General features: G+C 51.7%; 1 protein-coding gene and 1 long non-coding RNA gene across 6 annotated transcripts in view, besides 5 other annotated features; both read right to left on the bottom strand.

Annotated features, from left to right (window-relative positions):
* Positions 1-13,587, bottom strand: part of ACSS1 (acyl-CoA synthetase short chain family member 1) — a 51,903-nt gene extending 38,316 nt beyond the window's left edge. For all 5 annotated transcript variants that reach the window (XM_006723659.2, NM_001252675.2, NM_001252677.2 and 2 more), the window contains exons 1-2: positions 13,217-13,587; positions 3,533-3,629 (exon numbers count right to left, since the gene is read on the bottom strand). In XM_006723659.2, the coding sequence (XP_006723722.1) occupies positions 3,533-3,629; positions 13,217-13,550 (431 nt within the window). In that variant the 5' untranslated portion in view covers positions 13,551-13,587. The remainder of the gene's footprint in view (positions 1-3,532; positions 3,630-13,216) is intronic.
* Positions 12,683-12,812: an enhancer, noted in NCBI's record as "active region_17659". NCBI's record gives its function as "activates an Ori minimal core promoter by ATAC-STARR-seq in GM12878 lymphoblastoid cells {active_cell/tissue: GM12878}" and the evidence as "EXISTENCE:reporter gene assay evidence [ECO:0000049][PMID:35858748]".
* Positions 12,913-13,182: a silencer, noted in NCBI's record as "silent region_12739". NCBI's record gives its function as "represses an Ori minimal core promoter by ATAC-STARR-seq in GM12878 lymphoblastoid cells {active_cell/tissue: GM12878}" and the evidence as "EXISTENCE:reporter gene assay evidence [ECO:0000049][PMID:35858748]".
* Positions 13,313-13,842: a silencer, noted in NCBI's record as "silent region_12740". NCBI's record gives its function as "represses an Ori minimal core promoter by ATAC-STARR-seq in GM12878 lymphoblastoid cells {active_cell/tissue: GM12878}" and the evidence as "EXISTENCE:reporter gene assay evidence [ECO:0000049][PMID:35858748]".
* Positions 13,313-14,068: a biological region, named in NCBI's record as "H3K27ac-H3K4me1 hESC enhancer GRCh37_chr20:25038651-25039256".
* Positions 13,463-14,068: an enhancer, noted in NCBI's record as "H3K27ac-H3K4me1 hESC enhancer chr20:25038651-25039256 (GRCh37/hg19 assembly coordinates)". NCBI's record gives its function as "activates a minimal SCP1, AML or CMV promoter by ChIP-STARR-seq in naive H9 embryonic stem cells {active_cell/tissue: H9 hESC(naive)}" and the evidence as "EXISTENCE:reporter gene assay evidence [ECO:0000049][PMID:30033119]".
* LOC124904882 (uncharacterized) lies at positions 18,410-22,045 on the bottom strand. The gene is made up of 2 exons (XR_007067555.1): positions 21,969-22,045; positions 18,410-18,818 (listed from the first exon to the last, which is right to left on the bottom strand). It is a non-coding gene; the product is annotated as an uncharacterized LOC124904882 (long non-coding RNA).

Consider the following 25,182-nt stretch of genomic DNA (forward strand, 5'->3'; position numbering starts at 1 on the left):
CAGTGAGTTGTGACAGTACCACTACACTCCAGCCTGGGTGACATTTTTGAGCCCCTGCCTCAAAAATCAATAATTAAAAATAAAATAAAATGGGCACCTGCTGGAGAAGTGCAGGTAAACAGCCAGAAAGAGCCACTGCCGTCCCAGAGTGCTGCCTGGCCCCACAGCCTTGGGGCCACTAGGCCTACAGCCTCTGGCAGGCACTGTCCTGCTCTGGGCTTTCAGCCTGCTGGCTCACCAGGGGAGAAGGGCTGCCTCAGCTGGCTCCGGGCAGAGGAAGGCTGGAAATGGAGCTGGGACCCTGGAGTCGGGTGGCAGACTGCCCTGGGAGATGGGTGCACACGTCCCAGGCTGAGCCCTTCACCTCCCAGTGGGAATTGAGGACTGCATTTGTGAAGGAGGAAGCGGGGCAAAACCGCGGCAGGGGAGGGGGTCCTCCTCTCCAAGCCCTGCAGCCAGCCAGCACGAGGTCCAACCTCGCTGCCCAGTTACAATGCTGAAAACAGCTCTAGAATCCAGTGAGTACTCAATAAATAGCAGCTACATCATTATCACGGCTATTCTTACTTGCTAGTGCGTTCGGGCTGTCATCTCCCTGTGCCTACTTTACAGTCATCTCCATTGTGATAATTACCCTGGGTGTACAGATGGGAAAGTCACACCCGGGGAGATTAGGGAGCTGCACAAGGTCACAGGCCAGCAGCAGGATGGTACTGAACTAGAACTAGAACGGGCCTCTTTCTGCTGACCCTGCACCCCAGAGGACCTGGGGAAGCAGGGATTGCAAATCCTCCACTTGCAGGGTAAAGGCCATGGGCACCCGTCCCAGGGCTGCATCTGCCTGTGCTGACCCAGCGTCACCTGTGCCTAAGGTCACGGTGGGGACCAGAGTCGGGAGGTTTCCCTTGCCAGGTCACCTGGGATTGTAACACACAGACTTCCTCACACCCTGCAAGCTTCCTGCATCGGCACCAGCGTCCCAACCTCTACCAGCCCCACGGGGTTTCTTTAAAGGGCCCAGGCTGCTAGTCTGGACATTGATCTTCCAGCTGAGGAGGCCTGCAACCATCCTAGGCACCTCGAGTGCTGTGGCACGAGGCCCATGGGCAGAAAAGCACTGTGTTCAGTGGCAGTGATGTGTCTGTCAGGAGGACAACCAGTGCCAATGTCTAGGGGCTTTCCTCAGAGAAAGGAAGAAGAAAACCTCACATCAGAAACCTAGCCTGACCAGGACAATGAGGAACTCACATCCCTCAAATACTAGCTGCAATTACAGGTAACACTTTTCACTCAAACAGTAAATAGAAATGGTCACCTGGTACTAAGCCTGGCTAAAGTCTGCAAACCATTTTAGAAGAAGTCAATTTATTTTTATTTTTATTTTTATTTTTGAGATGGAGTCTGACTCTGTCACCCAGGATGGAGTGCAGTGGCACAATCTTGGCTCACTGCAACATCCACCTCCCAGTTTCAAGCAGTTCTCCTGCTTCAGCCTCCCAAGTAGCTGGGACTACAGGCGCACATCACCACACCCAACTAATTTTTGTATTTTTAGTAGAGACGGGGTTTCACCATGTTGGCCAGGTTGGTCTCAAACTCCTGACCTCAAGCGATCCACCCACCGTCCTCAAGTGATCCTCACCATCCCAAAGTGCTGGGATTACCGGCATGAGCCACTGCGACCGGCCCCTGTTTATTTTTAGAGACAGAGTAATAAGTACTTTGCCAGGGCCATTTCAGTGTCATGGACCTGAAGCTGTCCTTAGCTTCCACAGGCTGGCTGTGGTCCTGAGAATTCTCACATGGTTTATGTTTAACCACACGTCTCCACAGGGCTCCAGCCCCGCTCACAGACCGAACCGCTACTTAGCACACACTCAGTGCTCCCACGGGCAGCGTCCAGCCGAGGGGGCGTGGCACACAACCTGCCTGCCCCAGGGTCCAGGCACACCTGAGAGACTGATGGAGAGAAACTGGCCCTTCGGGGAGTGCCATGGCTGGGCCCTCCCTGCCGGACCTCCAGGTGTCCAGTTAGCTCCTTAGCCCCCGACCCCCAACAGAGGGTTTTCATCTTTTACTGAAGAACTACTCCAGGGGCAGCAGCCTCAAGTTCCTTCTCAGAAGGGGCTTTGTTCGCAGGCAGATGGAGCTGGGCCCACCGTGGCGAGGGGCAGCTGCAGCAGCTTGGGTCTTCAGAGCCAAGCACACTCCAGTGTGCAGGGGCCACCTGGGGGGCCGCTCAGTTGTCCAGTGGGGCCCGAGGATCCAGGGCAGAAGAATGCTGCTGGCCTATGGGCCACACGGCATCTGCAACCAGGGACTAGAGATAAGAAATGCGTGCTGTATAGGCTGTGAGTCTGGCTGGTGGGGGAGACGGGTCAGCAAAGGAGCCCTGGCCGAGGCTGGTGGAGCTGTGATGGGCCTGAGGGCTCCTGGGGGCCGAGGGGAGGAACGAGCAGGACAGGGCCCACTGGGAGCCGCAGCAGATCCACTAGCATCACTCGTCTGCCTCCAAAAGTCAGCATGAGCACGGTTTTAGCAGGTTTGGTGAATTTGGTCTGTGATAAAATTGGAGTTCAAGAAACAAACAGGAAACTACAAGTGCCCCTTCGCCCCCAGGTCACCCGAGTGGCAGGGCAGTGACCGCTGCTCTCAGGCTGCCCAGTGTGGACCTGCCTGTCGGAATGCTCCTCCTCCACGTCCCCTCGCTCCTGTGTCCCAGCCACATGCACCTTCCCTCTACCTCTGGGATCCCTGCACCAGGTCTGCCCCTGTCTTCTCAGGGCTGCTCCTCTTGGCCCACAGGACCTCAGCTGGAATGTTGCCTCCTCCAAGAGGCCTTCCTGACTATTAGCTCACAGTGGCCACCCAGCCACACTCTGCCATGTGCTTGGGGATTGTCTGTTACTGCAACATACTGCAGCCCATACTGACACGAAGGCACCCAGTGAAGACTTGCTAAGTAATTGGACAAGAAGACCCTGGAGCTGCCCCCAGGAGAGTAATCACGCTCGATGATTGTGTGTGATGGGGACTTAGGAACTCACAGTTTAGGGGCACAGTGGGCCTGAGGCATCTCTGTAAGGGTAAGGTGAGCTTCAGGCAAACGGGGTTTGCATGGAGAACCAAGGTGCTGCACCAACACAGCAGCCCCTACAGGAAGCAGCTTGGGGAAGGCCAGTGCAGACCGCCCAAAGCACACAGCATCTGAAGCATGCTTGGCACATAGAATCTGCTTAAGGAATCAGAGACTAAAAAGATCAGCTTAAAAACAAAACAACTCTACTAAAGATGATTTTATTTATTGTCCCATCCTCACAAGGCGCTGAGAGTGTGGCCAGGCAGGCTAGACCGGCTTTTACTGTGTTTCATTCTGCTTGCGTTCACATTTACTTTTCCTGGATAAGAGAGCACTTGCAAAGCCAAAATGCACTCCCTGAGACTCAGACGGCCCCTCCCTGACAGCCAGACTCAGCACACAGGACTGGGCTGGGCGCCTCCCTCGCACCTTGAACATTCGAGGGCACAGTACCTGTAGGTGATCCTCACTTCCGTTCCAGGCTCATCGCGCTCCCAGATCAAAGCAACGCTCTCGGGGGACTTCCGAACATGCTGGTCCAAGCAGTTGACTGTACAAAAAGAGGGTTTGCGGATGTTACACTTGGTGCTTTTTGAGTGAGAATTCGGCCAGGTTGAGGGGTTGGAGCGGGTCTAGTTTGCTGTGGCTCTCTCTTCTTCCACTGACAGAGACCCTGTCCTCATCAGTGATGATGTTTCTACCCCCTTGCAAGGAGAAGGGTGAACAAACATGATCTCAGAGGTACAAGGTGATGTCCTGCAAATATTTTGAAGTGGTTGCTTCACACCAGTGGACCCAACCCTGGCTGCATATTGGCATCTCCTGGGCCACCCCTAGAGACCCCATCCAATGGGTCCTGGGCCTTCAAAGCCTCAAAGCCCCCATGGTTGGTTCTGATGTGCAGCCAGGGCTGGGCACTGCAGCCTAAGCTGTTGGAAAGAACACTCAGTGCAAACAGGTTGTTCCTGTTTCAGGGCTTGGCTCCTGCAGTTCCCATGTGCCCAGTGCTGACCTGCCCCCAAGGTTAAAGGTGCAAGAAGGGACGAGGACCCAACTCCCCCACGTGTTCCACGAGCACCCAGTAAACCAGCCTTGTTCCAAGAAGTGGCTCGTGATGGGGAAATGTCCTGGTTTTGCAGAAGGCTCTGCTCCCTCCCTCTCCATTACCCAAGCTCCCACACATGACCCTCCGGCAGAAACAGCTCTGTGGCACACCGTGAGACTGAGGATTAGCAGCACGGGGCCCCTCCGCTGGCAGGCTGGTCACTACTCATTAGATTCCAAAGCTGAGCCCCTTCTGGCAACCCTCAAGCCAGCTCTCCTCACTCACTGGCTTATCGGAGGGTCCCCAGGTATGCAGGGACATGAGCCCCATGAATGGTTTTGGGGGCAGCAGCACCCACCCACCTGGTCTCTCAGGGTCACCCCTGTAGCCTGTTTGTAAATTACACCTCAAAAAATGTAACAAATGTAGACAGATTCCAGGAAAAAATTACTAATACTAGTAAGAGACACAGGAAAGTTCTTTGAACTACTATTAACAGAAAAATAAAAGAGAAGACATGCCCAAAAAATAGAAGAAAATAAAAACAAGAAGACAAACTAAGAAGGGGATCAGTGGCAGACCTGAATTTACACAACATCTCTGTGTGTGTTGGGGAGCTGGGGGTGCTAACCTCTGTTCACTGTGGTCATGCCAAGTGTAGCATTAACCCCACAATGTTTTGCTGGGTGTTGGGGAGTCTCTTAGGAGCAAAAAGAAGGAGCATACAACCCTGAGATGGTTTAACCCAACCAGTCCTGGGTGCCAATCCTGATCAAGGCCCCACACTGAACACTGAGGGAAATGCCAGGGCAGATTCGAAGCCCCTGCCATGGGTGCAGGAGACAGATGCAAACGTAAGAAACATGCAAAAGTGACCAAACACACAAGGCCGGTGGCGGCAGGCTCATGACACTTGTCCAAACAGGGCACTGGAGCTGAATTTACCCTGGGAAGGCAAACCCTGGGAAGTCAAGAGCAGCCTGGGGCTGAAACAATAATTACTGCAAGAGCCTCCACGGAGACAGCGCCCGCACCACCAGCATCTCCCATTATGGATGGGAGAACAGAGGCCCCGAGAAGTTAAGCTGCCTGGCCAAGGTCACACAGAGGCAGAGCTGGATTCAACGCAGGCAGATTGGCTCCACAGTCTGTCCCACCGCCCCACCCTCCAAAGTCCCCCGGTAACAGTCCAGTTCTTCACCAGGCGGTGAAGAACTGCTCTATGCAACAAGTGGGAGGGAAGCGAGCTTTGCCGGTAGTGGGGGAATTGGGGAGGAGGGATGAATCAGGCTTGGTCTTACAGACGGAAGACAGAACAGTTGAGAAGAATAGTGAGGCCAATTCAGGCAGGCGACAGGAACATGTAAACCCTGAAGGAGATGGAAAAACAACACAACTGCCAGGGAGAAAATTAATACACGGGTACAGCAGATATTAGCCAACGTGGTCCCTAGGCTGAGTCCAGCATACAGTTGTGCTAACCACCCTGACCAGGGTGTGCAGGCATGCGTGTGTGAGTCCAGTCCAATATTTAAAAATCGAGAGCTTTCACATGAAAGCCATGGACTTCTGGCTTCTGAACAATCAGCAGGAGACCATCCCTACACAGAGAGTCCTACACCCCGCTGCCTGCCTGTCACCTCCAGTGACTCTATGATGCTATGACAAGCCTGGGAATGTCTAGCTGAGGATCGACACTGTCTGCACCCACCATCCCCCCCGGGAGCTGGTCACAAATGCAAATCTTCAGCCCCACCCAGACCTGCTGAGTCCCAACCAGCCTCATAAGAAGCCCCAGGAGATGTGAACCCACTCTCATATCTGAAAAGCTCTGCCTGACATACTTGCTCCACTCCAAATTTGACCCTGGAGCCCCCCGGAAGAGTGGCCTGCCCAGGTGTAGATGAGCAAACGCCCTCTGCATGGCCTGGTGACCTGCCCAAGGCCCCAGCCAAGATGAAGCAGGAAGGGCTCGAACCACGCTGGACACTTCGCCTTGGCATTCATCTCATCGCCTCACCTGCTCCCACAGCAGCCAGGGCACCAGGACACTCTTCTCAGAAACAGTGACTGCCCAACTTCAAACAGGCCCTCACAGCCTCCCAGCCCAGCAGGACATCCTGCACCATTTTATACCAAGCAGGAAGGCAGAGGTGAGGAAGGTGGAGAGGGGCAGGCCAGCCCCAGGATGGACAGCACCCAGGTGCGGCTGGGTGGCCCGTGAGATAAGCCCTGTGTCCCTGTCTTTCCAGGGCTGACAGGTGGCCTGGGTCCAGCAGATCAGAACAGAGCCCCAAACACAGTGTCCCCCAGGTGCCTCGCCACATGCAGAGGTGCTCAAAAAGTGGCCACCAAGGCCCCAATGACCTGCCTCTCCCTGCTGACCGGGCCACATCTGGTGAGCTCCCCTGCCCTCAGGCCTTTGCTGTGGCTTCTCCCTGCCTGGGGCACTGTGCCCTCCTCACACCCACACTGCAGCTCTCAGCCCAAGGCGCTCACTCTCCCGAGCACCTCACTGTCCCAGACCCTGCGCATCCCCCAACTCTTCCAGATGCTCACTGCCTGCTGCGCTCCCTAGGGCGAGGGCTGAGTGTCCTGCTCAGGTCTGGGTTCAGGTAGCCTGGTCCAGAGCACAGAGCTGAGGAACAGACCACTTGCGTCCTCGAGCCAAAGGGTCATATTGAGGTGTAACTGGCACCAGGTGGTCCCCTCATGCCCAAGGGAGGGAGCAGACCTCTTCTTGTCTTTGTGGCTTCATCCCTTAAGTAGAAGACATTCTCTTTTTTGGCCCAAATCAGTGCTTCTCAACCTTGAGTGGCATCAGAAGTCCCCAGAGGACGTGTTAGCTGCAGCCAGTGTGCCCCGTCCCCGTTCTGGGCATCTGCATTTCTAACAAGATCCTAGTGATGCAGCCGCTGCTGGTCCTGGGACCCGACTCTGACGATGTGTGCACATGGACCTACATGCACATCCCCTTTCTATGCAGATGCAAGATTTCCAATGGTTTTCTTTTTCCTTTGGGACAGGGGTGATTACACATACTTGCCAGCCTCATGAGCCACTGGTTGGCAGCCTGGAGTCACCACTAAAAACTCAGGGTCTAAAGTCCAGCCCCTGTCCAGCCACTCACTAACCACAGACAATGCACATATCATTTAATCCAAGCCCATTTCCTAATCCTTGGAGTGGGTATAATGATCCTTGGTCTGGGTGGGACTGGAAGGACTAGGTGCCATTGGGTTGTTTCTGGCTGTGGGTCAGATGGAGTCAAGGTGTCCCCCAAGAAGGCAAACAGAACAACCCTCCCCCATCTTTGTTCTGGCCACCATGGCTGGTGCTCAGACCACACAGGCACCTGAAGAAAGCTCCATGTGGGGTTTGGGGGACAGTGGCCCTAACACCCATGTGCACATGGCTCTTCGCACATAGTTATGGTTCCTGCTAGTGCTTCAATTTCAGGATGAAAAGGTAGAAAGGAGGGGGAGGAAGGAGGTAAGAAGGTGAGGAAGGATGGAAAGGAGGAAGGAAGTGGGGAAGAGAGGGAGGAGGAAAAGAAAGTTTAAAAAAAAATCTGCCCAAAGAAATGGGCAGTGAGACAAGAAAATTCCATTTCTCAGCATTTCCAAGAAGAGTTGGGCAAGGACCCATGGCAATTTAAAGTGTAGCTGAAACTCCACCTCCTATTTCCGGCCTTTCCCAAGTTTCCCAGCACATGATGGATGACCTGTCCTTCGCCTCTCAGAGGCCCACACCATTTCACACTGCCCCATGCTCCCTGGTGGTCCCCATTACAGGGCACAATGCCATTCCCCAAGGGCAGGGACTGTGTCCCTAAGATTCCTTTATCATGTAGACTGGCGTTGGGAATTACATCACAATTCCCCTCCCACCTCAGTGTGGACTTACTCATTTACTGACTTATGGTTCATCTCCTCATTAGAATGTGGGCTCTGTGGTATTGAGCATTTTCTGGATTATTCATTGCTGTACATGAATTGGAGCCTTTATTTCCAAATCTGTGCAATGGGACCACCAACCACTTCATGTTGGTGCCATGAGGATGCGACAAGCCATGCGGAGCTGAGGGCCGGCCAGCCAGGGCGCTCCATCTCGCTCACAGATGCCCAGGGCCCCACCCAGGGCCTAACACAGCTGGACGCAGTCGGCCAATGCCCGTGGCTGGGGCAGGGGTTTGGTATTTTGTTTTAAAAAGGCATTATAAGAGTATTGGGATTTCCATTACAATCCTGACACACACGTACGAATTTTCAAGTACTCTTGTTGCTTATTTAAATACATCCCTCACACTCACACACCCTAACTGAAAGTGGAACCCAGCATACAGAAATTCAATTTGAATACGGAGTTACTATTCACAATGAGCTTTTTTTTTTTTTTTTTTTTTGAGACAGGGTCTCACTCCATTGCCCAGGCTAGAGTGCGCTGGCGTGATCTCAGCTCACTGCAACCTCCACCTCCTGGGCTCAAGGGATCCTCCCACCTCAGCCTTCCAAGTAACTGGGACTACAGGTATGCACCACCACGCTCGGCTAATTTTTTTTTTTTTTTTTTGAGATGGGGTTCTCACTACGTTGCCAGGCTGGTCTCAAACTCCTGGGCTCAAGCGATCTGCCCACCTCAGCCTCCCAAAGTACTGGGATTCCAGGCATGAGCCACGGCGCCTGGCCCACAATGGACTTTCTTTTAATAGCAATCTTCCCTGGCAGGCTTTGAGATATTACGTCAGTCACAAAAATTGTTTTGGACAATTTTCCCAAAGCATCTGTTATTTAAAGTAAGTCGTGCCCCTGACAGCTGGGGAGGACTTGGATTCCTCGGGAGGATCCTCCTCCTAAGATTAGGGGTTCCTTTTTCATGTAGAGTTCCCTGAAAAACCTTAGAAAAGTTACTTTAATCACTGGAATCACTAGGAGGAAAATGAAGCACAGGCGCACAGCGTCTTGCCGCTGTCAGTGTCCTGCCTTCTGAACGATTAGAGGCATGCCACAGAGAGGAAACTACAGCAAACACAGAGGAACTACAGCAAAAGGGCCTCTGTTCCTGCAATTAATCTCCAAAAAGCATCCAAGAAATTTCCCAGTGCTCAATGCTTGGTTACAAAGAGGATTTTTACACTCTTGCTTAAGAGTACACACACTGAAAAACATCACTTAAAATTGGGGGTTTTAAAAATAGAGCTTAGCTGTGTGTTTTGAAAGCAACACATGTCATTACCCTCTGGTTCTGCATTTACAACTTCCTGACATCTTGAGTTGATATGCCACAGGGCAAAAAGAGCTGCAGAGCCCTACAAAGGACAGAGCCAAATTTCACAGGTGGGAAAGAATCCCTTTTAGAACCTGGCTCTCCAAAGAACCTTCTGCAAGGCAGTTTTACACAATAGAAGCAAGTCACAGAAGGGCACAGACACTCTGTCTACCCTGCCCAGTGAGTCTCAGACACCATAACCTCAACTGGCTATTGGAGTTGTGGGATGGGCAGGATACTGTGGAGCTTTGAAAGCAACCTCAGCCACCTGCATGCTCTCCGAAGCCTATTCCCCACCTATCCCAGGCTGATCAGATGCAAGCCCATGTGGTCCAGTTCAGATGAAGCTCAGCTCTCTCAGCAGCACTGCCGAAGGCCAAGCACAAGGTCACAGCCTCCCCACATGCTTCATTAATAAATAACAAATAGTCAGTGACTGGGGATGTATAATGTGTTAAGAAAGTGCTGAGTGCCTTACAAGCATTTCCTCATTTCATTCTAACAGCCCTGGGATGGGTGTGCTGATAGATACTCCCATGGATAACAAAACAGGTGCAAACACTCAGGTCCCCTTCCCCAGGTCGGAAGATGCCTGATAACATCTGTGCTGGTCTCTTGGACCTCTGGTTGCAGGAAATTGCCTGGGCCCAGCCACCATGCTGTGACAAGCCCCAGGAGGTGCTTTGGGCCACAGTTCTGGCTGAAGCCAGCCTGCAAGTTGTCCCAAACAAGGCTCCAGACTTGGGAGTGAGAAACAGGCAGATGACTCCAACCTCAGACACTGAGGAGCAGGAGCAAGTGTTAAATAAAATGTATAGGAGGCCACTGGTCTGGACTGAGCTGCATGAGGCCCAATAGATCACACAAAAATGGAGTCACTCTTGCTAAAGTGCGGTGTCACCAAATGGAAACTAAGTTGTTTATCCGACCTTCTAAGAAACAAGGAGAGTGAAAGATAGCTAAATCTCCAAACAAGCTGGCATGATAAGGGAGCTCCTTCCACTTTCACCTTTACAACAAAAGTAGCTTTGAAATAACCAGTCCACTTTTTGTTCTCCATGTCTGCATCCTTCAGCCCCTTCTGTCTATAAAACCATCCTCCTCTGTTCAGCTCATCAAACATTCCTTCTGTTTTATGGAATGGGGTGTTTCCCAATTCTATAATCACGAATAAAGTGAAGTAAGGTCTTTAAACTAAATTTGTCCTAATTTTGCCCTTTGACATGAGTCATCCCCATCGGGCCCTGTCCAAAGTCCTGACTCACAGACTCTGCGAGGAATATAAAATTGTTGTTATCTTGTGTCACTAAACTTAGGGGTGGTTTGATGTACATCAATAGTAACTAGGACAGAATTCAGTTACATACGGCCCTTGTTTTACAGATGAGGAAACATGCAAAGTACAGTACAGGGAAAGCAAGAAATCAACCCGAGTCATGATTCTAAAGACACCTGGAGCCACGAAACTGTGTTGCGCCATCCACAGCCCATCATTTGCTTGCTGTTTGTTTAATAGGGCCAAGGCCAGGACACTAATCCCAATTCTGTTTTAGAAGTGCCTTCATCTGCCCTGGTTTGAGGCGTACAGGCCAGTGGTTCTCAAGCCCGAGTGTCCTCTGGAGCATCTGAAGGGCTCGTTATAAACACAGGTGTCAGGTCCCATCCCAGGGTTTCTGATTCCAGATGTCCAGGATGGGCTCCAGAATTTGTATTTCTCAAAAGTTCTCAGGTAATGCTGATGCTGCAGGTCTGAAGACCATGCGTTGAGAACCACTGGTATTCTTGAGGGGGTGAGGTGAAGCTTTCTTCAAGAGTGATATTCCTTTGGAACAAGCCATCTGACTTTATCACACACAGCTGACAGATCAGACCAAAGTGTTCTCATCCATCCCACGACTTTCTAGATGCTCCCAGAAGAGTCATGGCCTGGCCTGGCCCTTTTTCATACTGTCTTCTCTATGGTTTGCAGACACCGGCAAAGGAAAGAGATATTGCTGACCCATGAACAGGAGGGCACGCACATCCCAGGGGAGAAAGCTGCTGAAAAGCTGTTTTTCAAGTTAGTTTTCTGAAGCTCAATTTCTGGCTAACGTAGCCATAAAGGCCATATTATCAGAAGAAATAAGTGAAGGAAAAGGAGACAGAAGAATGCTTGCTGACCACACCCTGATCCTGACCGAGCGAGGTTCAGAAGGTCCTTGCTGTTGGCCCCAGGAGGTCCGCCCCACTGTCTTATCTGAGTGGGGCTGCAAGTGTGCACAGGCCAACTGTGAATGTTCCCCATGACCTTGGCCTCACAAGTCCAGAGCAGGTCACTTTCCACCTCTGTCCTTGGGCAAGCTGCTCTAGTCTCCTTCAAGGGCACATTGCCCCAACTCTGCAAACCAAAGGGTTTGGTTTTTTTCCCACTAGTTCAAGGGCACTTGCTGCTGACTCAATGTTAAAGAAAACACTTATCTAGTAAGTGACTCATTTTAATTAAACCAGCAAAGTAATATACAATTTCGGGGAGTGGGGGAGGTCCAAAGTTCCTTCCAATTTCTTTGAAAAATAACTGCAAGACACTATCTATAATTGTATGACTATTTCTGAAGTTATCTAAAATCGCTACTGCTTATGGGTCACCAGTAAGCGCTGGGTCTGCTGCACACCTTGCAGCACTCAGCCTAACCTCTGAGCATGACTGCCCCCATCCTCACAATGAGGAGACTGAGGGCTGGGGGGGCAGAACAACAAGGACAACTGAGGGAGGAGTTGGAGAAAATGGGGCCCTGGTGACCCTGCCATAAAGACCCGCAGGTCCTTTCTTAAACACTCCCAAATCCAGCAAGCTGGTTATGACCACCCTTCTGGTCTGCATCCCTCTGATCAACACCGTGTCTGCCAGCCCCTCCCCGCAGGCCCCACACCCAGGCCCACCCTGCATCCGGAGCCCACCTCGCACTTGGCACCCACCCTGCGTGGCCAGCCCTGCCTGCAGTTCAGGGCCTCCCCCTCGGTGCCCAGTCAGCGCCTTAGGTGGGGGCGAGGGTGCTGTGTACGACCCCCAGCCCCAAATCTTAGCAGAGCAGCAGGGCCTCTGCTCAGCAAGTTCCAAACAACTGACCACCAGTCAACTGTTTGGGGCCGACGTCAGACCCCGCGGGTCCAAAGCAGGCCCCAGGTCGCTGGGGTGCAGTTCTCTGAGGCCGAGAACGAGAACGGGGAGGCCGCCGTTACTTCCTTCCCGTCCACAGGCCCCAGGCCCCAGGCCCGCAGCGAAGAAATAACTGGTTCCAGCTGCCACGCCGAGTTTCCTCCTCCCCAGGTCGCCCGCCACAGCTCTGTTTGTTTACGTGGGCAGGGCTTGTCCCCAGGCTGATCCCCGGGCACCGCAGCCCGCAGTGACAACCGCCACCGCTTTGTTTTTCCCTCCACCCCGGTATGGGAACGGGAAAGTCCCGACTCCGGGGCGCTCGGGTGTAGCCCGCGGCTCCCCGCCGGCTCTTGCTCAGCGGCGCTATGCACCCGGTAACGCAACTCTGGAGTCCGCCGAGCGAGGAGCCGCGCCGAGCAAGGCCAGCAGCGGGGCGTCCCAAGCGGCCGCCGGGTCCCCGCGGGCGCCGGCCCGAGCTGGGCACGTGGATCTGGGGCCCGATGGGATGAGGGACGGGGTGACGTGGAGCCACTGCTTAGAGCGGGCGGGGCGGACGGAATACCGGAGGAGGGGCCCCTGCAGGGCTGCGATCCGCGCTGCCCGGGGACGGCTGCCGCTGGCGAGAGGCTCCGAGTCCCCTCGGGACCCAAGAGTTGGGGGCGTCCTGGGTCTCCCGAAGCCCACTCACCAGAGACATTTAACTGGCCTCCCAGGAACCAGCCGATCTTGCCAGTGCTGAAGTCGCAGTCCCAGACGGTGTGGTAGGGGGTGTCCCACACGAGAGTGTCCCGCGCCAGAGGCCCCCAGAAGGCGGCCGGCTCCCGGGCTGCCTGTGCACTCAGCGCGGGATACGAGCCTGGCTGTGCTGCTGCTGCTGCAACTGCGGGAGCGCTGCCCGAGGGTCCCGAGGCCGCCCTGCGCGGCGCGCTCACCCCGCACGGCGGCCGCGCGGGCTGCCCCGAGAGCCCTCGCAGGCTGCCCAGCAGCCTCCCGACGCCGCGGCCCAGGGTGCGCGCCGCCATCTAGGCAGGCTACCTGAGCTCTCTGTGCTCCCAGAGTGGGTGCCTCACGCCCGGGGCGCCCCGTGGAGTCTCCGCGGGCCCCGCCCCTGCTCCGCCCTTCCGCCACCATCCATTCCTCCAGGGCCCCCTCCCGGAGCCCGCCCGGGTCCCACCCCTTCTTCTGCTGCCCGGGAGAGGGGGGGCCGCTTAGGAAGAGGGGAGCAGCGTGGGGAAGGGGTGCAGGGGAGCGCGGGGCGGAGCAGGGTCCCAGGCCCTGGCCCAGGCGCTGCGCTCCGGTGAGTCTGCGGTCCCACCCGGATGTTCCTCGAGTCGGCCTGTTTTGGTTTCAGTTTGCACGCTCTCCTGCAAGCCCCGACAGCTTCTTCGAGCTGCCAGAGGCACGTGCGGCCCAGGACCCCAGGACGCAGGCTCAGGGCCTGGGGCGAGGGGACCCTCTGGGATGGGGAGGAGCCGGGAGGGAGCCGGCACCAACGTTAAGGGGGCTGGTGCACCCAAGCGCACTGGTGGGTCCCAAGACAATAGGTCGGTCAGTTCCGCATCTCAGAGGCTGAAGCCAAGGTTTTCATGCCTTTGTGCGCCCCTGAGAGTGAACCCCACCCCTGGAGTCTCAGCAGCACGCGAAAGGGGCTGGCGCCTTTCTAGGCTCCCGCCTAGAAGCCAGGAGGCTGCGCAAGCCTGAGTCCGTGTTCTGGGTCCCATGCTCCAGCCCCCCAGCTGCCGGCCTCCGTCCTGGCGGGGGTCACGTCCTGCTGGGGGTCGGTGGTGGGTGATATGGGGCGATGAGGACTTTCTCCAGTTGCTGCAGCATCTGTAGCCTGAGTTCAAACTCTGTGACCTTGAGCAAGTTCCTTAACTTCTCGGTGCCTCGTTTTCCTTTTGGGGAAGACGGAAGTAATGTCTCCCTGGGGGGCGGGGACGGCGGGGGTGGGCAGCTGCAGTAAGGAATACATTGGACAATGTCTGTCAAGCGTCTACCCTTGCGTGGCCCCATAGTAAGCTCAGTAGTGGGGATGATGTTTTTGCAGCTGTGGAGCCAGGAAGGACAGAAGGAAACGTATAAAACTGGTCTCCACCGAGTTCTTAAATATTCTGACACCCAAGAAGTAAATTCATAACAAACGGGTAAACACAGGGAAGAGAGATTTTGGAAAACTGGTTTATTGAGTTCTCTGTGATGGGAAAGTTTCTTTCCCTTGAGCTGTAGGGCTTGCAGAGGGGAGGAGCCTGCCATTGGAGGAGCCTCTGCGTGGGCTAGCCACCAGCCCCTGCTGGGGAATGCTGCTGTCTGCCAGAGAAGACAGGAGTGTACCTAGAGCTGGAGAATCAGTGACATCTACTAGCATAACACATGCCCTGCACAGTGCTAGCGCTTGACCTGCATTTTCTCCTTTATTTATTTATGATACTTTTTTAGAGATAGGGCCTGTAGCCCAGGCTGGAGTGCAATGGTTCCCATCACAGCTCACTACAGCCTGGAACTCCTGAGCTCAAGCGATCCTCCTGACTCGGCCTCCTGAGTATCTGGAACTACAAGCGTGTGCCACGGCACCCGACTAGTCTACTTAATTTGAAACTTATCTAGTGCTGTCCATTCCCACCAACTGTCAAACTCCAGGTGGAAAAAATGAGGAAACTGAGCCCAAATAAATAAAAGGACTTACTAAAGAGCATGCAGCTGGCTAAGGGAAGAGCAAGACTAACACCCAGTGCCCCCAGTGGGGAGCTCGTTGGCCTAAGTTCATTTGAATAGAATATTAAAGACACCCAGTACAGGGCACTGAGAGGCAGAGGTCAGTGAGTAGTAAAATTGTAAACTGAGAAAGCTCCTAACTGTGGCAGGGGGTCCCAAAGACGGCCACCAACTCTTCCTTCCCACGCCTGCACCGCCTGCACATGATGGTGTGCTGCTCTGTCCAGAGGAGGACCCTGGCTGGCTGGATTGCTTTGGCCAGTACAGCCTGGTGGGAGGGATGCTGTGACAGTTCCATGTGGAGGTCCTGAGAGACCCCGTAGCCCCAGCTTATCCTCCCATGGAACCCAGCTGCGAGCTGTGAGGAAGCGGGGCTGGCCTTCCAGAGGAAGGGACCCAGGGCGAGGATGAAGCTGTCCCATCCACAGCCAGGACCAACTCCCAGACAAGAATGACGCCAATGTGGAGGCTCCTGTCCCAGCCAAGGCAGCCTCATGAGTCACCCCAGATAACACCTGGGATGCAAAGGAACCTCCCAGTCCACTTACAGAATTGTAGAAGGAATAAATTTAAGCCACTAAATTTTGGGATGGTTTGTAACTCAGCAGTGGTAACTGATACAACAACTGAGGCTGAAAAATGCATGGTTCTTTCACTCACTGACTATTGCCTCTCAGTGCCCTGTACTGGGTGCCTTTCTTCTCTCTGCCTTCCAAGTGTTGAAGTGCCCAGGAGCTCAGCCCTCAAATCCCCCTTTCTCCCCTGCCCCCTAGGAAACAGCAGCCAGCTCTCTAGCCTCTCACTTTCATATTGACACCTCCCGCCTGGACCTTTCCTCCACATCTCAGTCCTGTATTCAAATGTCTCATTCACATCTGAAACATACCAAGTCCTGGGATTCTTCCCCACAACACGGATCTTCCATGTCAGTGAATGGAAATGGCATTTTCCTGTTGTTTGGGCTCATACCCTTGTCATCCTAGATTCCTCCCCCTCACACTCCACATGCAGCCTGTCAGCAAATCCTGTGACTCACCTTCAGAACACCTGCAGCACTAACCTCTTCCCCCATCACCATCCCCTCCTGCTACCATCCTAACCATACCTATCTCTTTTAGGATTATTCAGTAGGCTTCAAATTGCTTTCACCCTTGCCCCTGACAGCCTAACCAGCAGCCAGTGCAATTCCTTTAAAACAAGAGTCAGAGGAACTTGCTCTGGAGCTTGGAACAATCCAAAGGCTCCCCAGTCTCCTCAAAACAAAGACCACATCATTCCCTGGCCCACAGGCCATAGCCTCACTACTTAACGTGTGGTCCATGGGCCAGCAGCATCACTTGGATACTTTGTAGAAATGCAGAATGCCAGGCTCCATCTCAGACCTGCTGCCTCAGAATCTGCATCTTAAGCCCCAGGGGAGCTGCATGCACATTCACGTTAGAGAAGCGTTGCCCTCCCTGATCCAGTGTACCCTCTTCCTCTGCTCTCACTCATTGGGGCTCCAGCACATCAGCCTCCTCCTGTCCTTCCCATCACCCAGCAGGCTCCCACCTCAGGACTGCCACACGATGTCCCTTCTGCCTGGAATGCTCCACCCAGTTGTCCACAGAGACTCCCCCTCACCTCCTTCAGGTGTCTTCAAACATCCCTTCATCCAAGAGCCCTTTCTTCCCTGTCACCTACATAAAGTTATACCTCCGCCCTCATTCCCTAGTCTCAACCCCTGACTTGACTTTTCTCCATGGCTGTTACTTATTAGCTCTGTGTTTATCTTCCTAGTCCTCCTACCAGGAGGGAGCCCTGTGAGAGAAGAGACCAGCTATGCTGCTTGTGACTGGGCCTGGCACCAACAGCCACCCCATGGAGAGTGCACGGCAATGGCTCCTTCTTCCTACTACCTTCGTTTCTAAGGTCTTCTACAGTTGCAATGAGAAAAGTAGGTAGAACTAACTCTGTTTTAAAATAAATGCTACCTCGTTCCTTCTGGTTGGATAAGAAGAAGTGATCATTTCAGAACCAAACATGTCAGAACCAACCAGGTGGTGCAGAACTGCACTTCTTGCTGCCCGAGTTACCTAGAGGTGGCCTTGAGACCTTCCTTCTGAGTGTCACAGCCCAGGCCAAGGTCGTCCCCACTGCCTCCCTCCTGGCAGCCAGTCATCAACTCTTGCAGAACAAGCACAAGATTGAACAAGCACAAGGAGCACCCACTCTTGGCCCTGCATCCCGAAGGACCCTCAGAGGTTTGGACAGGGCAGCAGGCTATCTGGGCAGTGCTGGTCACATCTTCTCCCTAAGAAGCCGCTGGCCTCAACTTCAGGAGAGCTCACTTGGAACGCTGGATGCTGTCAGGCAGGGGCTGCAGACACACGAAGTGCTTAGAGGGCAGGGTTCTTGGGAATCCGGGATTCGCTTCTGTCTCGGTACTAATGTTTAGGCCAGAAATGCCAACACAGCTGTGACTACTGACCCTACAACCTGCAGCAGTGAATGCTCTTGCCCTTGCTGTACATGTGTGAAAATAAGCAGGAGGACAGAAGCTCACCCGAGGCCACCAGCTAGTAGGTAGCAGAGCCATAGCGTCCAGAGCATCTTAATTTAACAGCTTTAGGGACAGAGCCCACCAACACGGCCTTCGCCATTTGCCTTCATAGCTCCTGCCATGCCCATTACTCCAGAGTCGCAGTGCTCAGATGCTCAAGAAACAGTCCTGGCTGATAACGGATCCCCAACCACTCCCTGTGCACTCAGTGGTCTCCAAAGAGCTGGTAAAACCCTCCCTTCCTCTTCTCTCCTCCATCTCTCCCTCTTCCTGTTCTCTTCATTTGTCTCTGTGACCCCACACACACACACCTCTTTCCAATGACACTCAGAAGAAACCTGTGAGCTTCTCCCATGTGCACCACCAAGAGCTGAGGGCTCTCAGTTGGACAAGGACGGTCCAGTTTTGGTCCCTGCAAGCAAGCAGGTCACAGTTCAAATTGGGGAGAGACAGACACTGTTCAAATAGCTGAAATGCACAGTAAAACCAAAACACAGAATTTAGAAGAGCATGGCAGAGCTCAGATCAAGTACAGGACCCAGATGCTGGGAGTCTGGAATTGGCTTCGTCACCAGTTCACTGAGTTCTTTCTCTACTCTGCATCAGCTACAAAGAAAGATCACCAGATTGGGGAAAAGGAAAAGCAGGTTTTATTCCCGGCCAGGCATGGAGAAGGAGAGAGCACTTGCTCTAAAGACAGCTTCTTCCAGAGCGGTGGGGAGCTGGGGAATGTAACAGGGTTAGATGTGGGGCAGGAGCTATGTAAGCTTATGTGGGGAGGAACTTCAGACACGCAGGTGCAGATCATGAACAGGCTCTTCATACGACACGTGTGCAGAAAGTGGCAACGATTCTCTTCTATGATTCTCTTCTATGAGTGGGGACTTTAGCATTATAATGATATGCTAATGATCTAAAGGTGACAGGGGCCACTGGTTCTGGTTTGCTCGGTTTTGGGCAAGCCTTACTTCCTCTGGTAATTGGCGAAGCGTCCTGAAGTTACCAGGCCACCCAAAGTTCTTTTAAGCAAGCTTACCTATAGATAAAGAGATGAGAAAAAAAATTGAGTAAGAAAAAATGAGGAGCTTTCTCAGCTATATCTCTAGGGCTGCCATGGTGGCAGCTTCACAAGGTGACAGGGCTCCCTTCCCTTCTGGCTCCTATTTCTCGATGTCCCCATGAACTCCGGGTGAGGATGAGGTATGTGGAGTCTGCGCATACATCTGCTTCAGCAGGGGGCTTGAGGATCCCATATGGCTGCAACACACCATAGCCTCATGCACTGTGGCACTGTGCACAAAGCCCTGCAGAAGTGCAGTGCGCCCCTGACCCTGCGGGGTCAACCCAACAACACACAGCGAAGCACAGGACGAGAGAGGGTGGCCACAAGCGCAAGAAGAGCTGGGAAGTGGGAGTGCAATCCAGCAACTGCCTGGCGTCCTTCCTGGGGCTGCGGGATACCCGGCCAGGCAGCTATGCTCTCTGATGCTCTGAGGGCGGTGCAGGAGGCAGAACAGTTGGGCTCTGTGGTGGGGCAGCTCCTGGTCAGCATGAGCGACATGGTAACTCAATTCCAGCAGCACCAAATCCTGGTAACTCTTAATCACTCACCCCAGCCATCCATGAGCATGCACGGCTGGGGACATCATCCATCAACCACCCATAGAACAGACTTCCCCACAAGACCCCTTGCAGCCCTCAGTGTTCAAGGAAGACACCATGAAAATCATTACACCTGGGAGAACAGTCCCTAACTGCCAGGCCTGCAGGGCCAAGGGGGGCACAGCAATTGCCCCCACATGCCAATGCCCTTCCCCATTCCCAAGCTGCCTCTCCTGGGGTTCCCCTACTGTGGTAGCTGCACTGCCTTCTCTCGCTCAAGGCCAGGCGTCACTTTTAGTGCTATTTGAGAGCTGTAAGTCTCTGAGATCACAGGGACATCTTGGGGTCACTCCAAGGGCAAAGCTCTGAGAACTTTGAGCTGTGGCCACTGTCCTGCCTCCTGTGTGGATCAAAAATGGCTTCCTCCTTCATGGAGCTCCTGAGTGTACAGATAGCACTAGACAGGGAGCCAAGGGAGAGGCCTAGAACCCCTCCTGGCTTCTGCCCTCTGTTCTGCCTCCAACCTGCCATGTGGCAAGGCCCCTGACATCTCTAGGCCTCAGTTTTCTCATCTGCAAAATGAACCAATGAGATCCAAATTCTGAATCCTTGAGCTCTAAAATTCCAAGAGGTGTATGAGTCCCATTAAGAACATGCCAGACTTAATAGCCAGAGTTTCTACTCCTTTCCCAAAATCACAGCCTCTGCCAGTGTGGGGCCCTCCACAGATTTCCCTAAGGACCACCGGACTCTGGCTCTGGAGAACTCCTGCCCTCCTTCCTTCCGTTCAATGTCTTCTTTGTCTCACAACTGCCCCATCCCCATCAGCCGTCACTCTGGGCCAGGGACAACCGCTGTTTCTCACACTACTTTAGGGCTGGAGCAGAGACATAGCCACCCAAGCCCATGTCTGAGGGATATAGACAGGAACACCCTTTGTGGTTTTCTTTTCATGTTAGTTCAACTAGAATTAACTTTATCTTGGACTTAAGTGCAAGCAGGCATTGACATTTTGGTAGATTTCCAGTCCAGTAGCTTCTGAGAATGGCAGCCAGCTCTGGCTGGGAAGGTTTAGATTTTGACTTGCATAAAACTAAAAATTGAGAGGTGAAGCTAGGAAATGGATCCTCAGCTAGAACTCGGCGTTTGCTTTAGTTTGAATTTGAGTGACAACTAGAATGTGGACCTTAGAGGAGGAGGCTTATAGTCCAGAGGACAAAAGGGATAGTCCCAAGTTCAACACTGTGCTCAGAGAAACAGACTCCCACACCCAGGCAGAGGCACCGGCAGCAGCAGGGTTTCCACTGTGCCTGAAAGACCAGGGGCCACCTGCCCTCATGGCTTTGTCCTGTAGTTTCATCGTCCAGCAGAAGCCTGAACCAGTCCCCACACACATGGAGGGCCAGGGGTCCTGATGCCTGCTGGTAGCCCACCCTGTCCCCTGAGTGGTCTTGGAGCCAGGTGCACTGCTTGAGTCATCACGCAGATATTGCTCGGTTGCTTGTTTTGCAGCAATCACCTGGTTTCTTGATCCCTCCATGATAAGAGGCTACAAGGGGGAGAGGGAAACCAGGGAACAGCCTTTGGCTAGATCTGAGCTGTCGGCCCCTTTGCTCTGTCCTGAGAAGGCAAAGGTCACTAAAACTGCCATCGCATCTCTGCCTACCGCCTCAGGAACTTCTTGGGCTTCCCAGCCTCTCAGCTCAAACTCAGGTGTGAAGGTTTATGATGCAGTCACAGCTTTGAGCAGAGACCACAGGCAGGGGAGGAATTAGTCTGCAAAGGTGCTGATCGCTAGGGCTGGACATGGCTTTCCCAGAGACCAGTTTCTGTGGGTCCCAAAGAGAGATGAAACATGGCCCCAGCCCTGAAAACACCAGCGAGGACCCAAGAGGATGTGTATCTATTGATGAGGAACTAATAGCATTAGTCAAATTTCTTACCGGGCTGAATGTTGAGAAATTGTAAAGCTGGCCAACACTGCCCCCTGGCTCTGTAACTGATGCTGCTTTCCAGCCTATCTAAGCAATCTGTCAAATCTTCCACAGGACAAGCCAACCAGAAGAACTCACGCATTCCTTAAGATCATATCGCCATCAAAGGAAGCCCAGGAGCATTTCCCTAATAATGAGCCCTCTCAGAATAACCTTTGTCTCCTTAGTAAATTAATCAACACAGATTGACTATGGCCAAGACAGTGTGATAGTCCTGAACTCGGGGAATTCTGGATGAGGATATGAGAAATCTGTTCGCCCTCGCAAAGATACATACTCCATCAAGACGGACTGGGTACAGGAAGTGTATAGATGATAGATAGATAGATGATAGATAGATAGATAGATAGATAGATAGATAGATAGATAGATGATAGATAGACAGATAGATTCCTTTAAAAGTCTGATAAATTGGGAAAACACAAATCCCTTGGTGGAAGAGAAATTCTGAGGAGGAGCCCCTGGCAGGTAGCAGGCAAATGGGTTAGAATTCAAGGCAGAAACTATAACTGAGGGATATAGTCAGGAACACCCCTTGTGGTTTTCTTTTCATATTAGTTTAACTAGAATTAACTTTATCCTGGACTTACGTGCAAGCAGGCATTGACGTTTTGGTAGATTTCCGGTCCAGTGGCGTCTGACAATGGCAGCCAGACCTGGGAAGTGGCTTGAGAGGGCAGCTGGGAGCACTGCGAAGGTGCTCTGGGGAAAGCGTCAGGTTTTTTGGCTGGGGACCAGGGAGAAGTAGAAGTAAAGTAAAGCCATTTTTGTCCAGCCAAAGTTTTTGTCTGGATGGAGGAATGATATAAATGCAGGCTAACTCTACATAGTGATAGAAACATGTTTATTAGGTATGTTTAAATTTTATGTATAATTATTAGAAAACTAAAAAGAGTATGTGATTTCCAAACCATTGGTGAAAGAAATGGAAGAAAAGTTGGTCAATTTTAATAAAACAAAACAGGAAAGGGTGGAGTGGGGAAGGAACAAGCAAGGATGGCAAGTTGGGAAATATAAAATAAGATCAAGAGATATGTCCATACATCATATCAGTAATAACTGAATTAATTAAATTTTCCCATTAAATAGAAATTGTAGCATAGAGTAAAAAAGAAAGAAAATTTAGAAAAGAGGATGCAAGACATGGGGCATGGGATAGACACACATACACTACACACACACACCACACACACACACCACACACACACACCATACACAGCACAAACACACCCTCACACCCCCCCACACCACACACACACACCACACACACGTCATGCACATGCACACACCACACATAGGCACCACACCACACACACACCACACACACGCACACACCACACACACCACACACAACCACACAGCACGCACACACACCACACACCACACACACCCCTACACAACCACACCACACACACTCGCACACACACACCACACACACTACACATAATGCACACACCACACACACGCACACATCACAAACACACGCCACACACATGCACACCCACACCACACACATTCACACATAGACACACAACACACACACACCCCACGCACCACATACACACAGCACACACACACAACACAACACACACACGTGGTCACAAATACCACACACACGCACCTGCACACACCACTAACACACACATGCACAAACACCACACACACATTACACATACCACACACACACTTCACACACACCACACATATGCACTCACACATACCACACATGTGCCCACACACACATACACCACACACACATGCACACACCACACACACTCCCACACAACTACACCATATGCACACAAACCACACACAGGCACACACCCACACACACACGCACACACACACCACCACACATACACACATGCACACACCGCACACATGCACACACATGCACACACACCAAATACCACACATGCGCATGCTCACACACACATGCACGCACATACACCACACAGACGTGCACAACTTGTGAGCAAACACGCACACACACGCACACACACATTACATATGCCCATGCGCACACCACACACACGTGTGCACACACACACCACACCACACACACCAAACACATGCACACACCACACATATACCACAGGTGCACACACACACCACATGCACACACACCACACACACGCACATGCGGGCACACACATTTGGAGTTTTAGAAGGAGAGAAGGGGCGAGGAAATATTCAATGAATTAAAAGCTGCAACACTTCTAGAATTAATGAAAGACAATACTCAGGCTCAGGAAGTACACAAATTCCAATCAAGCTAAATAAAAATGAAAGCGGCACCTCTACACATGATTGTGAAACTGTCACAAACCAAAGATCAGCAGCAGGTCTTTAAAGAGCCAGAGAGTGAAGATAGATTACCTACACAGGAATGGTGTTTAGACTGACAGCTGACAGCTGAGTAAAATCTTTAAAGTATTTCAGGAAAATAATTGTCAACTTTGAATAGTGTAGTTAGTGAAATCATCTTTCAAGAACAAGCACAAAATACATTTTCAGACAAACAAAAACTATAGGCTTTTCACCCTATTACTTCAGGATTACTTCCAGAAGAAGGAAAATTATCCCCCAAATGAGGACAATAAGGGTGGTGTGCCTGCAATGGAAGGACAATGAGCAAGGAAATTGTTACGCTTGTGGGTAAATCTAAAGAAACATTAGTGATATGAAATTATAGCAATAACGCCTGCATCATGGGATTAAGAAAAAAAACAAGGTAAAAGAAAAATCCTGAACAAGAGTGTAGAAAGTAATTAAGAAATCAAAAGTAGCATCCTATAATTTCTCGAATGTTCAGGACAGTTTTACATTTACATCAATATGCATGTCAAATTTTCTAGATTAACCACAAATAGAAGCAGAATATATACCTTCTAATCCAGTAGAGGGGGAAAAGGGGTAAGAAAACTGAGCAGTTTGAAAAATGAAAAAAAGGAGAAATAGATTTAAAAGAAAGGGTAAAAAACATTTGCAAATACACACAAAAAATAAATTTGTTAAAATAAAATTTAAATGTCAACAATTATAATTGATGTAAATGGAGTAAATTCTCTAGTTAAAGACAAAGATTTTTGGAATGGATTTTCAAAATCTCAACTATATACTCCGCAATAGACAAACCTAAACCTAAAACATATTTAGAAATGTTGATAGTAAAAGTATAGAAAACATTTACCAAATAAATATGAATTAAATATCAGACAAAATGCACAGTAAGACAAAATGCAAGAAAGTTAAAAGGGGAAACTTTGTATGATAAATGTTCACCAGGAAGATCTAGAAGTTCTTAACTTGCAGACAACTCCAAAAATATGAGCAAAAATTGATGGAAATACAAGGGGAAACTGAAAAATTGACCCTCATAGTATTTTCAGGCCATGTATAAGAAATCCCAAAATCATTTTTTTGATTGGGGCAGTGACTGTATTTCATCTAGATTCACAAAAGTGGCTATTTCACTGGATGCAAACTTTGTTTACAAAACTGAACTTGGTAAAACCAGTTTGCGTGTGCAGGAGGAATTTTAGGTCGTAATAACTCTTCCAGATTCTGTGATGCATTCAGTCATGGCTGGGGTTGTTGTCCCTAGCATCCTCTCCCGCTCCTGCTCCCAGTCTTGTGGGCTTGTGGGTAGGTGCCTTGACTTGGGAGAGGATGCAGGACTGAGGAGTGGGAGAGGGGATGGACAGAATACCCAGCAAGTGTTCCTTCTCCAGTCTGTCACGCCAAGGGCAACCAGGGCTAGGTGCCACCAGGATCTTCACGTTGCTGCATAGAATGACTTCA

Source organism: Homo sapiens, chromosome 20, assembly GCF_000001405.40.
Source record: "Homo sapiens chromosome 20, GRCh38.p14 Primary Assembly".
NCBI lineage: Eukaryota > Metazoa > Chordata > Mammalia > Primates > Hominidae > Homo > Homo sapiens.